Here is a 16,951-nt window from a genome sequence, read left to right on the forward strand (position 1 = left end):
GCCCGTGCATGTGCATGTGTGCTCCGGAACTGGGGTATGTAGATCTGGGGCTTGGAGGGGGTGGACAGAGTGATAGGTCAGGACTCACTGAAGGGTAGAGAGCCAGGAAGTACGTCCTCTGTCAAATTCAGAGGGAATCTGGAAGAGAGGTTTCATCATACTGTTTATTTTAGGGGTTGGGTGGAGGAGGCAAAAGGAAGGCAAGGGACATCCTAGTAATCGTACTAAGGGGATGGCTGCAGTTTGAGCTGCTTTCCCCTAGGCCTTTCTGGTTCAGTCACCCTTTCTCTGGCAGCACCAGCCCGAGCCCCGAGACCTCTCCTGAAGGTGGGCTTCACAGATTCCTCCACCCCATCAGGAGGGAATGGATTTTAGGAGGACAGCCACAGCACCTTTAGGCCATTAGTTTCCAGGGTGGCCGGAGGGCAGGAGGAAGGGAGCGATGTGGGGGCTATAGGGGACTCTGGCAACTAAGACTTTACAGAGCAGAAAGAGCAGACCAGAGGCTTCTCAAAACCACTAGGACTTGGCACTTTCAACTCTTTACCCCTTGCCAAGAATTTGAGGTCCTTAAGGGTTGACTGTGAGGGGCAGCTAGGGTGTAGGGAGTGGGAATGTTTCCTAGAGCAGGTCCTTAGGCAGTGGGGTCCTCAAGCACCTTTTCTCCAAGCTCAGCCTTTCTCCACCTCCACACCCCCCGCCTCCCCAGTGCATGTCATCCTTTGGGGAACAGTGTAAATTTGCCATTTAGCAAATAACAGCCCATCTGGGTGGCTAGTATACAGTGTACAAAAACATGTCACCTATTGTCTTCTCTGACCCTTGCTACAATCCTGTGAGATATTAAATCAATATAAATGTTTCGACAGAAGAAGAGACCAACGCTCAGAGAAAGCACTTTTTCTTAAGCACTTTTGCCTTGGGTCACATGGTTAGTGCCTCTACTAAGGGGATGGGTTGTCCAGTATCTGCTGAGCTTCTGCTGTATTCCAGGCAGTGCTTGGACCGTAGGTGCATTATGTCCTTTAAATCTCACAGCAGCCCCACATTATCACCTTTCACAGATGAGAAACACAAGGTTCAGAGAGATCAAGCAACATGCTCAAGCTTCCACAGTGACAGAGGGGGCTCTCAAATCTTAACTCCAAGTCTAGTGCTCATACCATGGTGCTGGCAGAAGTGCCTTAACTGCACCGGATGGGGAAGGCACCTGAGGTGGGTTCTGGCTGCTCTGGAGAAGGTGGGGACAAGGTGTGCTCTTGCTCTTGTCCAGACCACGTAGGAAACGATGGTGTGACTTGGGAAAGATGGAGGAGCCTCTCCCCAACAAGGCCCTAGGGAGGAGATGGGGATGTGGAGAGGACAGAGCAACCTTCTTTGGGGCAAGTTTGGGTTCAGAGATCACCCTGAGGGGCGGGGCACAAGGGAAGTGTCTGAGGGAGAGGGAAAAGAGAGGTCCCAAGTCTGAAAGGTTGGGAAGAGAAAGGGAGGAGGGAGACCAGGCCGGCCCCACTAGCATGCCCAGCAGGGACTCTTTTCTGTTCCCTGGGCCACAAAGAAGCAGGTGGAACCTTCCACAGATACCTGGGCCAATCAGGTGGCCCTTGTACCTGCCAGGGAAGTGGGGCAGGGTGGGGTGGGGCTACATGTCAGGGAGGATATTAAATGAGCTTCTAGCTCATTTGCATGTCCTAATTAACCACAAAGTGCGCCCCAGAGGAAGAACTAAGCTCTCTGATTTCTCTCTGCTTACGTCTGCTATCTCCTCCACATACACACTGCTTACCTCTCCCTACACCTTCCTGTATACTTAGGCCCTAGGCATTTGCATTCACCTCTTCCCTCCACTTCAGTAAAATACAGCCTCTGTCATTGCCATGGCAGGTGTCCAGGGGGAAGGGAAAAGTAAGTCTCCATCAGACAGTCAGCATGCCATTTATGATCCACGCAGGACCATGAATAATATGAGAGGACAGATTTTGCTCTTGTTCCTCTTGATTTGGCTTTGGAACAGATATGGACAATTAGTGGGATCGTCTGAAAAGCACAAGATTGCAAGTCAGTTGGAACTGATTCAATCTCAATTCCACTACTGTGTGACCTTGGACAAGTTGCTTAACTTCTCTGAGCCTGTCCATGTAAAACAAGAGCAACTGCTTTCAGTGTGTAGTGAGAAGGAAGTAACAGAGGTGAAGGTGCTGGCACTTGTAAATCATGTTGGCAGCAAGTGTTGCTTCCTAATTTTTTGTTCTGGCCCAAGTTGAAACAAGTTTTCAGTCTCCCAAGTCTCTTCTGACTAACCAATGGTTCAAAGTCTGCTTATTTTCCACTGCATCCATTTGAGAGCAGGAGTTGGGTCCTTCTCATTGCTCTGTTCTTAGTTTCTATAACAACACCTGGTGCTGGGAGGTGTTCATAAAGTTCTGTTCAATTTATCCGAACCACTGTGACCAGTCCACGAAACACGTGAGTTATAGGTGAATGTCCAAGAAGTACCTTGGTTTCCCACAGACTCATTCCAGACTTGGAGCTGGTGTCATCTTGAATAATATGCTAGATGGCTTCTCCACCAGCCAGTGTCCCACGACTTCCTCCGCTCATGATTCAGTAGGTGGAATCTTAACATGCAGTTTCTTAGCACGCGCAGGCACACACACACACACACACACACACACACACACACCACCACTACCACCACCACCACCACCACCTCCACCATCTCCACCTCCAAAGGCAGTCAGAGCCAACGTTCCCTCACTCAAAACTGAAATGTTGGTATTCTCTGGGAAGACACAAAGGATTTGCAGTGGCTGGCTCCACCAGAGTGGGCTTGCTCAGTTGGCAAACTCCAGGTAGAGAAATAGCAAGAAAAGGACAGGGGTTTTGGAGCCAGATAACCCAACCCTCTGTTCAAATCTCTGTCCTTTCCTTTGCTAGCAGCCTAATCGGGGCAGTTTACACGCCCCCTAATAACCTCCATAGATGTGTCTGGAGAACAATGCCTTCTAGGGTCCTTCTAAGTTTGAGAGATGTGCACATTACCTGACAGACAGTGAGTGCTCAACAAAACCCAAAAAGCATGAGCGCCTTCCTCCCTCCTGCAGCTCCCCCACCAAAAATGAAACATCTTACCATTTGACTGGGTAGGATTTGAGAGTGACCCTAACCACCGCGGCTGCGCCCCCATAATCCCATCTTGAGCTCTGCCCCTCTCTCCACTCTCCCCAGGGATCCAGGAAGCAAGCAGAAGAGCCTTTTCTTACTATTTTGCCTCTCCAACTGGCTATTAATGCTTTGAGGGTGGGAAGGAATCCTGCCTCTAATTGCAGCTGTCACACCCCATCAGGCTGAGGGACAATCAGTGGGAGGCAGAGAGGGGCAGTGGGAGGGTGTGCCCTCCTGGCTTGGTCAGCCCAAAAGAAGATCCACATTGTCTTTTCCCAGCCAGTGAGTGTTCCCTACTGGAGTGGGAGGGACAGTGGCTTCCCAGGGCAGTCCTGGGGGGGGGCCTGGATCACTAGGTGGCCCTCCTGGGCCACGTGCCCAGAGTGGCTTTAGAGAAGCCGGAGCTGAGCTGCTGCCTGGCCCTTCCCCCTCCGTCCCGGCTGCCTCTAGGTGAGGAGGGAACAGGAGGCCTGGGACTGCTGTGTCTAGTGGGGAGAAGGCCACGGAATGGAGCTGGGAATTTTAAAATCAAGTGGCTATTTCTTCTGGGTTCACTTCTACCTCACTGGTGAATTGGCTGTTCTCTGACCCAGGTGGGAGTTAAGTGCAGGAGACAGGGGTTGTGGGGTATGGGGCCCTACGAACTGTTTTTTTTTATTTTTTTTGAGACAGGGGAGTCTTGCTCTGTCAGCCAGGCTGGAGTGCAGTGGCATGATCTCGCCTCACTGCAACCTCCCTCTCCCGGGCTCAAGCAATTCTCCTGCCTCAGCCTCCCAAGTAGCTGGGTTTACAGGCGTGTGCCACCACGCCTGGCTAATTTTTACGTATTTTTTTAGTAGAGACGGGGTTTCACCATGTTGGCCAGGCTGGTCATGAACTCCTGACCCCAGGTAATCCGCCTGCCTTGCCCTCCCAAAGTGCTGGGATTACAGGCGTGAGCCACAGCGCCCAGCCTGCGGGGTGCTAAGAACTGTTGGGGAGGAGTGTTGGTAACTCCAGGGTCCAGCTTCTACTCTGCAGTTAGACCTAGGCTGTTCTGCCTCCTGGCTGCAGTTGTTCCTGGACATGTAGCATATCTAGGCTTGTTTCCTTATCTGGAAAATGGGATCATGCCTGCCTGCCTCGCTCACTTTCAAATGAGACCATGGAGATGAAAAGGCATTCAAACAGCCCAGTGCTATGTCAACATCCTTCCCCTGTGCATGGGGGAGACGCGGGGAGTGTCTAGGGCTTCCCTGGCTGCTCCTTACACACTGTACTCCTTATTCAGCTCATTTTCTCAGAGTCCAGGTATGGACTGAAACCTCCAAGGCAGAAAGGGCTAGCAGGTCGGGTTTTGCCTCACTGCTGCTCCAGTCCCAGGAGGCCTGGGGTTCAGTCCCTGTGCCTGGAGCAATGTCTTGCCAAAGAAGCTGACAGAAGGTTGGGAGAGCCATAGACAGGTCTTTATTTGGGGGCCTATCTGGGGAACCTGATGCTCCAGGGCTCTTTTCCATACAGAATGTTCAACGGAGGTCTTTGGGGGCAGTGGAGATGTCAGAGGGATTTTCTGATCTCCTCCTCTGCCCTCACCTACTGTCACCTCCAGCCCCAAAGTGAGTGCATGCATGCCAGACAGACACACACATGCACACACACACACACACACGCACAGCTCACTCTCCAGCTACTCTTACCTCCTCCACCAGCTAGCCCCCAAGACAGCCTCTCCCAACCACCTTCCCTTCAGTCCTGAGCCAAGAACTCTGGCTTCTCCCCGCTTTCTGGGGGAAAGGAACTTGGAGTTGGGCTTTCGAGAGCCATACCGCCCACCCTCCCTCCTCCCCAGGGGCCCAGCACTGGGACCTGGCCCTTTCAGGCTCAGTCAACTTTCTGTCTCTAGGATTCAGACCCAAACAGCTGTGTTAATATCAAATCCTGAGGGTGAGTGCTCCAGGGCCTTGGGGCAGCTTGTGGGGGGATTCTCCCCTCGCCTGTGCTCCCCGGTGCCTGGGAAGGGGAAATGTCCAGAGCCCTTGGAAAGGCTCCGCTTCTTGACCTTCTGTGAGCGGCCGGTTCGGGACTCAGGGACCATGGGTGTCACCCAGCCTGGCTTCTCCTTCAGCAGCCGGTCACGGTCAGGCCGCACACTACGCAAGAACTTCTTAAAGATGTTTGCTGTCAGGGCGAACCTGCGGCCCAGCTCCTGGGGCTGGCCTTTCTCTCCTTTGGGTTCACGTGCCCCCCCAGTCTCACCCTTCTCCCCACCCTTCTCCAGTTCTGGCAAGTCTAGCCAATTGCCCACCAGGTCTGCAAAAACGTTGTCCCCTAACACCAGAGGCTGTCGATTCCGGCCCCGGGACATCAACGTGGAGGTCCAGTCATCCGGTTCCACTCGCTCTGGCCCCTGCTGAGCACAGCTTTGATGTGGCTGTGTCCTGGGCAAGGGGGCTAAATCCCTTCCACAGACACTCCTATGGGATGGAAACTTGGTGCTGCTGCCAAGAGAAGGTTGACTGGAGGGGGAACAGACTGTGGGCCTGGCAGGACCTCTGCCACCCTCCCAACAAGGGTGCTCGCACTGGGTCCTGGGACCTTCAGGGCTGCCTGGCACAGGACCCCCTCCAGAGATCTCCAGCTGTTCCAGTGCTGTCTGCACCTGGAGGAGCTTCAGTTCTTGCAGTGCACCCATCATGCAGTTCATCTGATCCTGTAAGCCATCACCCACCTCCTTCATGGACATCTGCAGGGGAGAGAGAAAGCATGGGGCCTATGAGCCACAGTGGGCAGCAGTGCCTCTCCCAGCCCTGAACTTAGGTCCCCCACCCAAACATACACTTCCAGGGTCATCCAGCCTGCCACCAGCCCCATCTCTCTATAGCCTAGTGCAGTGCAGATCAGTGCTGGGTAAAGGAAATAATAATGGTAGCTAACTAGCTAAGGCAGGCACTGTCCTGAGAAGGCTCCCCCACCCCATACACACACACACACACACACACACACACACACACAGACATTTCATCTCCCCAACTACCCTATGAGGTAGTGACTATTACTGTTCCCATTTCACAGGTAATTTGCCCAAGATAAGATAGTAAGAGGTGGGGCTGAGATCAGCTTGAAGTGCACAAAGCTGTAGTGCCCATCCTCATCCTTTTTTGAGTCTGAGCGCTCTTCCTCCCTGGGCCTCCCTGAAATGATGACAGTGATGATGGCGGAAAAAACAATATGAGAATCTGCTTTGTAACAGGAATTGTGCTAAGGACTCTATGTGCTTCATCTCATTTCATCTTTATATAGACCGTATGAGGTTGCTATTTTCTCATTTTAACAAACGAGTAAGCTGGAAGGGGTGAAGTAACTTACGTAACGTCACACAGGTCATAGAGCTGGGACTCAAACACGGTACTGTCCCACTCCAGATGCCATAGTCCTAACTACCAAATACAGGTTGAGCATCCCTACTCCAAAAATCTGAAAGCCAAAATGCTCCAAAATCCAAAGCTTTTTGAGCCACAACGTGACCAAAAGTGGAAAATTCTACCCTGACCTCATGTGACAAGCGGAAGCCAAAACACAGTCAAAACTCTTTTATGCACAAAATTATTTAAAATATTGTATAAAATTATCTTTGGGTTGTATGTATAAGATGTATATGAAACATAAATTTCATGTTTAGACTTGGGTCCCATCCCTAAGATATCTTATTGTATATATACAAATATTCGAAAATCCAAAATCCAAAACACTTCTGGCCCTAAGCATTTCAGATAAGGAATGCCCAAACCTCCTGTACTACCTCGAGACTCGAGATGGCTGGGCAGTGGGCAGTGGAGCTAGGCTTTTTTTTTTTTTTTTCAAACAGGGTCTTGCTGTTTGCTGGGCTGGAGCACAGTGGTGACTATTCTCAGACACAATCATAGTGGACGGCAGCCTCTAACTCCTGGCCTCAAGTAGTCCTCTGGCCTTAGCCTCCTGAGTAGCTGGGACCACAGGTGTGTGCTGCCTGCACCCAGAGCTGGACTTTAAGGCTACTCTGTCCTCTACAGGACAGTGAAGAAGGGCTGAAAAGGGCATTAGTGGAAAAGGAAGAGCTCAGATTCCCCAAGAGAAAGGGTAGGCCTGGGGTTTCCTGCAATTGCTGTTCATATCTGACTGGTCAGAAGGGAGACAAGGAGGCCAGGAAACTCCTGTTTGCTGAAAACCCAGCGCTTCTCAGCCTGCCTCTCCCTCCCAAACACCTGTCCTCTCTCAGCTGTTCTCAGACTTGGCTTCAACACTCTTCCTGCCTTCTTAGCCCAGTTGGCTCTGCCGCCCCGGCCAAGCCATAGTGAGATGCTGGGGGCCAATTCTCCCAGCCCCTTTGTGGGTGTCTAAGGCCTGAGTCCCGGCTGCCAGCTGGAAGGTGCTGAGAGATTGACTTGGGTGAGGGCCTAATTTGGAGGCTGCAGCGGGGCGGGGTGGGGGCTGTGTCTGATAACATTCACAAGGTTCCCAGTTCCTGGGCCCAAGCTGCCTTGGTCCTGCCAGCTCCCTCCCCAGCTCCTGATCAAGTTACCAACAGCAAACCTCATATGCAGGGACCATGTGTTTCTTAAGCCCCCCAGAGACCCGTGGGATCATCTTACCTCCCAGGCTTGTCTTAATGCACAGGGCTAAACCCAGAAGGTGGAGGGATCCGAAGGGCAGGCACAGAGGCTCTGCAGGGCTGGGCTGCAGCTGACCCTCTCAGGCTTCTGGGTCAAATCCTCCCCCTGCCAACCCTGGCCCTGGGGGGGATGGGAGATTCCAGCCAGGCTCTCAATGAGCCAGCAGAAGCAGCACTAAAGGACAGTGGAGGACTGACTGCCCTTGAGGGCAAGGAGGCCTTTGCTGGGGCGTGGAGATTGCCCACGCTCTGTGCACTTTCCCCAAGACAGGCAAGAAGAAATGGTGGTTCCAGGCCCTGACAGCCCTGGGATTTGCCAGAGTTTTCACCAGTTGAATGGGGGGCAGTGGCAGGAGCAACAAGGGACAAGGAGCCTGTGGGACAGATGCACATGTTGTTGACAGCCCCTCTCTCTGGCCTCTTTGCTTCTACTCTACTGACCCCTTCCTTTTGGAAGCACTCAGCTACAGCTGCTAAGACCTGGAGCAGAGTCAGAGGAGACTCTAAGCCCCAGACCAAACTCAGTGCCTCCCTTGCAAACTGCTTCTCCCTCTGTCTTCCCTATTCTCCCACTTCCTCCAGTGCCACTTTCCTTGTCTTCCCAACTAGAGCCTCAGTCATTTTTGGCTTCTCCATTCAACTACCCCTGCTCCTGCCCAACTTACTCATGTTGGATTTTTCCTCCCACAAATGTCGCATATCTTTCCTTCCACCCTCAGGAATGCTGCAGAAGCCTCCTAGACAGCTTCCGAACCGCCAGACACGTGAGCACCTGATCAGTCTTCCCAGCACACACCTCCTGTCATCTCCGTGGCTCTCCAATGCCCAGACTCAAATCCAAACTATTTGGTCATGCAGTCAAGATCCTCCAGGACAGAATTCCAACTTTCAGTTCCAGGAATATCCCTACTCCCTGAGACGTACCCCCCATGCTCCTGTTAGAAATCTTCTGTGATATTTAATATACTCTTCCCTGTAGTCCTGCCACTTATGCACTCACCTCATGTCCTCTATGCATTTAAATGCTCAGTCCCTTGTGAAATATGTATTGAGTATCTACTCCTTGAGGACAGGGGCTGAGATCTATACATCAGTATGTCACCCCAGAACCTCGCTAGCACCTGGCACTTGCTACATACCCATAAAACACATATTGAATATCACTGACCACCCCAGATCACCCTCCAGGCTGCTTGCTACCCTCAGACGGTAACTCACTACACAGGGAGAAAGAAGCAGGGCTGCTTCCCAAGGTTTCGTTTCACCCAGAGGCAAGGAGTCCAAACTGGCAGGCTTCCTTCCAGAAGGCTAAACCCAGCCCAGGTCGGAGGTAGAGGGAGGAATGAAATGACTCCATTCAATCTCTTCCAGTGTGGAAAAATCCAGAAGAAATAATGCTGACATTTTGCACAGTTTTCCAGTGAGAATGAATGTGTGGGTATGCATGAATTCAAGCTGCCCATAAAACAGAGGCCCTATGTAAGTAAGCAAGTGCTGAAACTGCACCCATCTGCAAAATAATATTCTGCATTGGTTAATAATTTGGTTTCTGGAGACAATGGAACAAAGTTCAAATCTCAGTTCTGCCATTAGTAGCTGTGTGACCTGGGCAAGTTATTTACATTCTGTTTTTCAATTTCTCCATGCTTTTTTTTTTTTGAGACACAGTCTTGCTGTGTTGCCCAGGCTGGAGTATAATGGCATGATCTCAGCTCACCACAACCTCCGCCTCCTGGGTTCAAGCAATCCTCCCACCTCAGCCTCCCAAGTAGCTGGGACTACAGGCACAGGTCAGCATGCCCAGCTAACTTTTTTGTATTTTTGTAGAGATGGGGTTTCACCATGTTGCCTAGGCTGGTCTCGAACTCCTGGACTCAAGCCATCCTCCCACATCAGCCTCCCAAAGTGCTCGGCTAACAGGCGTAAGCTGCCGCGCCCAGCCAAATTTCTCCACTCTTTAAAATGGGAATAACAGTTCCTGCCTCATACAGCTATTGTGCAGATTAGGTGAGGTAATGTGTATCTCTGCATGAAACCAAGAAAGCATTAGGTGAATTCTGGCTGTTAGTTTAAGACTTCCCATGTACTTTCACAACATTTCTTCCTTGGTGAAACTTAGCACATAGTAATGACAGGGTTCCATTCCTTATATCTGGTCTAATCAAGGAGAAGCACAAGGAGAAGGTCCTGTTTTTTCCCTCCCCACTCCTGCCCCATGCAGGGGCTGGGGAGGGAAGGAAGGGAAGTCTTGGCACCCTCCTGCCCACTCCCAGCCACGTTCAGTCAGCCCAGCCACATCCAGGGTGCCGACACTGAAGGGCAAGAAGGCAGCTGGGAGAGGGATGAGAAGCGAAGGAGGAGTTGTGGGAACCTGGGAGGGCCAGGACAGTGGTGGGGCAGGAGCGTTAGCTGGTTCTTGACTAAGAGAGGAGCCAGCAAAACAGCCTTTCCAGACTGACCCCAGGGGATGCCATCACCCAAGGAAGAAGAGTCAGAGGCCGAGCTTGGGATATGCCTTCTTCTTCCAGAGCTTGGGATCCTCTCAGGTCCCCGGGCTTCCCTTGCCTCAGGACCAAAAGGGGAAGAAAAGGGGGCAGTAAGGGAGGTAGAGGAAAGGAGAGGGGCCAGCTCAGATAGACAAAATCCCGAGCAGACATGAGTAGCTCTAAACCCATCTCCAGGCTGCAGGGTGCGGAGTTCCTCCGGAGCCTCTTACTGTCTTGGAGCCTCAGGTTCTTCCTCAGAACAAGCTTGCTCTCAGGGGTCAGCTGAGAGAATTCACAAGAAGGTCGACCTGGTCCTGATTAGTTTGAGCAAGAGCCACCTCTTTCTAACCCACTCCTAGTCTCTCTCTCTGTTACACACACACACACACACACACACACACACACAGAACTAACCTGCTCCACCATCAAAGGTAAAACCCTTAATAACCATATTCCAATGAAGATTGTGGGAATCCCTCCTGTGAAAAGCCAGGAAAGGTCTTCTCACCTGCTTGTTGCCTCCATACCACCCCACAGTCCCTCTCCCACCCTCAGCGTCTCTGGAAGTCTGCATGTCAAACTTCAGTCTCCATGGCTGCAGTTTAAACCATCCCCTGGGTTCCTCACTGTATTAGAGCTGTAGTGCCACAGGTGCCCTCCTGGTGTTTGTGAAGGGCCCCACACTCATCTGGAGACCTGACTTACTCGGCCACATGACACTGGGCAAAATCGCCCACTTTTTGTGCCCGGGGTTCTGAATCTCAGACGACAACTCCTGGTGTCAGCACTAGCCCTTTCCTCTGCACGGCCTGATCCCCACGGCTAAACTCTGAGGGGCTGGCCAGGTAGGTGGAGATATCCCCAAGTAATGGATTAGGTAACCAGGGGCTGGGAGGTCCATCTTCTCCCTCAGTGTTTCCCAGCATTCCTCCCCAGACCTCCTTCATGATTTTCACCATATCTACATAGGACCTCGTCTCCATGAACACATCTCCTATCTGTTTATGTAAATAGTGTACTTATGAGGGAACTTGTGTGAAGTGTTTACACTTGCCATAGACAGATGGCACCTATCAACACACATCTTAAACTGAAAGCTTTCCTGGAGTATCGCCTCCATCATCCTGAGCACCACCAGTGGTCCCTGGGGTCCTGAGGCTTATTAGTGAGAGGCCTGGGACCCCAAGGCTGGCTTTCATACTCCAGGCCAACGAGCTTTCCATGTCATCATAACCCCTGACCTCTTAGCCTCCTGGGATTGTTGTGAGAAGAAACCAGGGCAACCAGCAGGAAGTGCAAAGGGCAGTTACCACCAGATGGGGAGGAAGAACGTGAAGTCATCCTTTTGAGGGACTCCGAGGCCTCCCTTTCACTGAGTCATCTGAAGAGGGAAGAGGAACTGCCTGCCTGGGGCTGGAGGGGAAGATGCAGTTGGGAACCAGATCCCACCATCCTGGACTTCCAGCCCTGAGCCCCACAGAGGTTGTGTGGGGTCAGCTGGCCATGGACAGCACCCTCCCCCTGGGCCCTCTTGGGGCTCTTTGTGGTGAGGGAGGAGCAGGGATGGGAAAATGTGACGCCAGCATCCTCGGCTCCCTTCCCAAACCCTCCCCTGGGCCCCGACTGATCCCGCAGCTGTGCCCTCCTTCCATCCATCTCACGCCCTCTCCCAGCTCAGCCAGAATCCTTTGATACAGGCTCCAGCTTTGCCCATGAGCCTGGCTGTGTGCCCTGCCTCACTTCCCCCACCCCATTACTCACAAGATCCCCACAAAGTTCCTTTCAGCCCCTGGGGAAGCTAGGAGGAGGCTGAGGGCCGGAAATGGGAAAAGCCCTGCTTTTGCCAAGTGGCCCATTCTCCAGCTCAGTGAATAGGGACCTTCACAGCCCCTCACACTTGGCTGGAACTCTCAACAGGAAGGTAAAGCGGAAACTGTGCCAAGAGCTGTAGGAGGGAGGAGGGTAAAGAAAGGAGGAAGTGAGGGCTGTGAAATGGATGGGCCCGCTTTCCCAACACAACCATCTATGGGGGTCTGCTTAGGCAAGGGGCAGACAGATGGAGAGGGGATTCCAATGCTGCCTCTTCCCGGAGATTGCCTCTTAGTCTCCGCAAGCCCTCTTCCCTCTGACCACCTTTAACTTCTCTCCGTTGCAGTCAATCAACTTCCTCGAACATCCAAGGGACCTCAAGAAGTTACCTTCTTTTTTTTTCCTTTCTGGTTCAGGCCTTCAGTGTCTCTTGCCTGACTCTTGTAATAACCTTCTAACTCATCCTCCTGCCTCAATTTCCTCCCTCCCTCCACCTCCACCTCTACCCCATATCACCTTCTGGATCCCAGGGCTGCTCTCCAATGCATACAGAACAGGCCAGACTCTTTAGCATGACATCCAGCGTGTGTCCACGACAGCTCTTTCAGCACTGTTGCCCACTCTTTCTCTGCATTTTACCCTATGCTCTAGGCAAACTCCAGCTGGTCTTCAGACATCCCCACCACTTCAGCTTCTGTACATTTTGCTCATGTTGTTTCATTATCTGCCTGGATTGCTCTTCTTCTGCTGTGCGTGTCCCTATTTATCCCTCAAAGTCTAGTTCAAATGCTACCTCTTCCATGACATGAAGCTTTCTCCAATCTCCCAGCTGGAGTTTACTTCCCTCTCTCAGAGCACTGAACCCGTGCTTGTTATATAGCACAACTCCTCTATTTCTGCCCCAGAGGTCTGCATACAGGTACTGGTTGAGAACATAAGCTCTGCAATCAGACTGGCGGGGTTTGAATCCTGGCTCCTCCACTTACCAGCTCTATGACTTTGGCCAAGTGACTTAGCCTTCCCATGTCTTTATTGACTCATTCATAAAATGAGAATAATGAAAGTAAAACTTCTTAGTGTTGTTTTGGCAATTAAATGACATCATAAATTATATGTCTGGCATATCAATGTTAACATCAATTAATATCATTATTATATCTTCTATTAAACCGTGTGTTCCCTGAAGACAGGATCTGTGTCTGTTGGTTTGTAACAATAGTGCCAGTGCCCAGTAAATGCCCTAAACACAGTATGAACTCAATAACATGTTCTATGTATGAATGACTCTTACGCAAAACAGTCTGATCAAACCATCATCAACAGTTTACCAAGTGCCTACGATATGACACATCTGACACTGTGCTATGTGTGAAAGACAAATAGTTGGCGAGGCACTTAAATTGTCATTTAATCTTCACAGTAGCCGTATAGAGTAGGTATTTTAAAACCCCCATTTTAGAGATGAGAAAACCAAGGCACAATGAGGTTAAGTAATATGTTAAGGTCATACAGAGCCAGGATTTGAACTGAAGTTGGCCTGACCCCAAATCTTATACTATGCATTCTTCCCATTGACCACATTGCTTAACTAGTCACATAGTCATCTTTCCCCAGCGTTAAACATCAAAGAAGAGGCATTATGAGATCCTTTGCAAAAGCTTTTTTCTGCCTCAGGAAATTTGCCTTTTTGCCCCAAGATCTGAAGGCTGTTCCTACTGTATCTTCTCCATCTCCTACTTTTCTTCTCCTTATTTTGCCTTCAGACCCTGGTCCTTACCCATTTGCCAGAACCCCCTGAACTTGTGGCCACTAAAAGCTAGAGAACTGCTTCCCCATGCCTCAGCTAGGACAGACATTCCCAGAGATGGCTTCCTGCAACCTCTCCCTCCTCCAGGAAGCCTTCCCAGCCTGGCTGTACTTCATGAGCTCTGATCACTCAGCCTTTACGCATTCTATTTGTTCTACACTGATCTGAACTCACGAGGGATGCCCTGTGAGCATCGTACATCTGCCTCCTCTGTGTGCCTGTGTCTACCCCCACTTATTGGCAGCCCACAAGGGAGCTGTGCGTACGGAACAGCTGGTCCCAAGGCCTGTGTTCAGGCAGGGCCCCTCTTTGGCGGCTGGAGGGAGAAAAGAGATGTGTTCCCTGCTGAGCTGTTGCAGCCCCAACCCCTCATTCTAATGAAGAAGTGTGTCAGCTGCTGCTACTTCTCCTGCCACATTTCATCCTTGAAACCCGATCCCCTTCCCTTTCCAGGCAGAAGGAAAGGGTCAGCTCTCTACTTATCAACTAATTGAGTCAGGATCCCCAAACCCTCAGCCTTCTCCCAGCGCTCACCTGTTACAATGAAATTTTCTGCTTCAGGGAATTGGGAAGTTCCACTACTTTGGTTTTCAGAAACACACTCTTCTTGCCTAGATTTTCTGGGCCAAGGACAGGGGTAGGATGCAGGAGGGGAGCACAAAACACCCTTGACAAAGATAATTTCACAACCTGTTAATGTTTTGTTTTCCAGCAGGTTTATCCCACAGTGTCTGCAGAATGTGTGATTCTTGAAAGAAATTTACTGAAATAAATGAATATAGAACTTGACCAGTATTACAGGAGGCCATGCCTGTGTAAACACAAACTAAGGGCAGCGCCAGGCAACACAATGTCTTCCTGGGTGGCAAGGGAGATCCTGCCTGGGATGGGCCATCTGCAGTGCAAAAGCTCCCTAGCTCATGACAGAAACCAACTGTATTCCTTTCCCACCCCATTGCAGACCTAGGGTATTAAGTCAACACACTTCTATCCCAGCCACAAGCAAGCTGCACTGAATTCAGTCCCTACTGTCCCTGGGCAAGGCAGCCAAAGGGCTAACCCTGGACTAACTCAGCTCTACTTTCCCCTTTGCTACTGTTGGGGATACTAAGGCACTGAGATTTGGCCCAGCTACCTAAGCACTGAACTGAGGTGTCAGGGAGTGAGTGACACTCTACTAGCTCTGTCTGTCCTTCTGCTCTGTCTCGTCTCTGAGCAGGCTGGCATTGGGGAGGGGGTGGAGCACCATGGGGGGTAGTGCAGAGCTCTCCCATCTGAGTGTCATTCTGGGATCCAGGCCAGGCATTCGGCTTCCTCTCCAAGAGAGTCAAAGGCTGAAGCTGCTCAGACAAAGGGCCAAATGAAAGCTAATGGGGCACTCCGTGACTTCAGCTTCTCCCTTTCCTCCTCTCAGGCATTGGGGGCTCAAGTCCTTGGCAGGAGAGGGTGCAAATCAAGATGTGAAGCTCAGCTCAGTGCAGATTCCTATTTGCCTTTTTTATTCTCCTGGCACTCGTAGTCTCTGTCTTCCTCCCCTCACCACCTCCCACCTAGACTGCTATAAAAAATGCAAATCAGTAGGATTTAAAAATTCGAGCCCATGCCAGGAACACCCACAAACCCTCCATTAAGGCAGAACCTGAGGTGGGTGGTGTAGTCCCCAATTCGAAGCACAAAAAGGAGGATTCCATTAGATTCTTTTCTCTGCATGGGTCTTGGACCTCAGACATTATCTGTGATGACCTTGAGCTTTCTTTCTGGTACTGCACACATAAATGGAAAAAAATGAGAATTGTGTACGTGTGGGCTGGGGCCAGCCATCCCAATCTGGCATGAGAAGCATGTGCAAACGACTATGGGAAGGGACATGGCGTAAGTTCAGAAGAAAAGCAATGAATACTCCTGTCTCTCAAGAAATTTATCTCTGAGTCAGTGACTTTTGCATCTGAGTGTCACCACAGAAAGGGCTCCAGGAGGGAGGACTAGAGAGAGAAATGATCGTTGATGTGAGCAGGCTGACCCTGGAGTAGGACTGACAGGAAGAGTGGCAGGGTTACTTGGTCAGGAAGCATCAGTGAGAACACCTGCAGTTTCAAACTCTGCCCCCTACCCCCAGAGCTGGCCCCTAACACACTGCCAAGTTCCTTCCCAAGCAGGAAGAGTGTAGCCTTTGCAGGCAGCAGTGGGAAACGCTGTCACAGAATCTGGAGAGCCATAAGCTGGCCCTTTCTAGATCCAGGCCTGCTGTTGTGTGGCCTGAGTGCCCCTGGCTCTGTAAAGTAAGAAGAAAGAGGAGAGCAGAAAAGTGAGACTGAGAAGAGTCGACTCCAAGAGAGACAAACTAAAAGAGACAAAAAGAGACGAGGGCAAAGACACAACAGAGAGCCTAGTGGAAGGAGAGATGGGCAAAGCAGAGATGGGGCTGTATGTGCATAACATTTGCCTGAATTCCGGTGGGTGAAGGAATAAGAAAGGTGGCAGGTGGCGTGGGGGCGGGGGCAGTGGTATATGAAGCCAGTGAGAATCAACCTGGCTCTCCCTAACATAGCTTTAGCGAACACCACTCCCCCGACTTCGGTGATTTCCACCCCCCCAGACTGAGCTACTTCTCCCCCTCCCCGTACCGCGGGGCCTCCGAACGCTCCCTGCGCACTCCCCAAGCCCAGACCTGACATCTGGCTGGGCCTCCGCAGCTCCCGCTCTCGATTTGCCAGGCAGAGCCCCTCCTCCAGCGCAGGGCCCTCCCCCGCCTTTCCAGCTGCCAGCCCCCTCCCTGCTGGCAGACAAGCCCAGGCAGACAGCCGGCCAAGCCTGCCCCCGCAGCCGCGCCAGCTCTGCCAAGCCCGGCAGAGCTGGGGGCCCAGGGTGGTACCCGCTTCCCTCGAGCGAGCAGTCCCGCTGACCTCGTGCCCGCGCAGGGATCAGGACCCAGCACCCTCCTCCTCCCCGCGCTCCAGGTCGCCCCGCGCAGCCCCGCACCCAGGCGCCCGCGTCCCGCTCCCCAGGCCTTCGCTCTCGCGCTTTCCGCGTCGGCGGCGCGGGGGCCCCACTGCGTCC

General features: G+C 51.7%; 1 protein-coding gene across 3 annotated transcripts in view, besides 2 other annotated features; it reads right to left on the minus strand.

Annotated features, from left to right (window-relative positions):
* Positions 1 to 146: 146 nt before the first annotated feature.
* INKA2 (inka box actin regulator 2) overlaps positions 147 to 16,951 on the minus strand; it is a 33,734-nt gene continuing 16,929 nt past the window's right edge. For 2 of the 3 annotated variants that reach the window (NM_198926.2, NM_019099.5), the window contains exon 2: positions 147 to 5,887. In NM_198926.2, coding sequence (NP_945120.1) covers positions 5,051 to 5,887 — 837 coding nt within the window. In that variant the 3' untranslated portion in view covers positions 147 to 5,050. Of the gene's footprint in view, positions 5,888 to 14,428; positions 14,562 to 15,533; positions 15,658 to 16,951 lie in introns of all 3 variants that reach the window. The other variant, XM_011541783.3, reaches the window with a different exon arrangement.
* Positions 3,006 to 3,775: an enhancer, noted in NCBI's record as "H3K4me1 hESC enhancer chr1:112267545-112268314 (GRCh37/hg19 assembly coordinates)". NCBI's record gives its function as "activates a minimal SCP1, AML or CMV promoter by ChIP-STARR-seq in primed H9 embryonic stem cells {active_cell/tissue: H9 hESC(primed)}" and the evidence as "EXISTENCE:reporter gene assay evidence [ECO:0000049][PMID:30033119]".
* Positions 16,775 to 16,864: a silencer, noted in NCBI's record as "silent region_1188". NCBI's record gives its function as "represses an Ori minimal core promoter by ATAC-STARR-seq in GM12878 lymphoblastoid cells {active_cell/tissue: GM12878}" and the evidence as "EXISTENCE:reporter gene assay evidence [ECO:0000049][PMID:35858748]".

This window comes from Homo sapiens, chromosome 1 (genome assembly GCF_000001405.40).
Source record: "Homo sapiens chromosome 1, GRCh38.p14 Primary Assembly".
In the NCBI taxonomy this organism is placed as follows: Eukaryota; Metazoa; Chordata; class Mammalia; order Primates; family Hominidae; genus Homo; species Homo sapiens.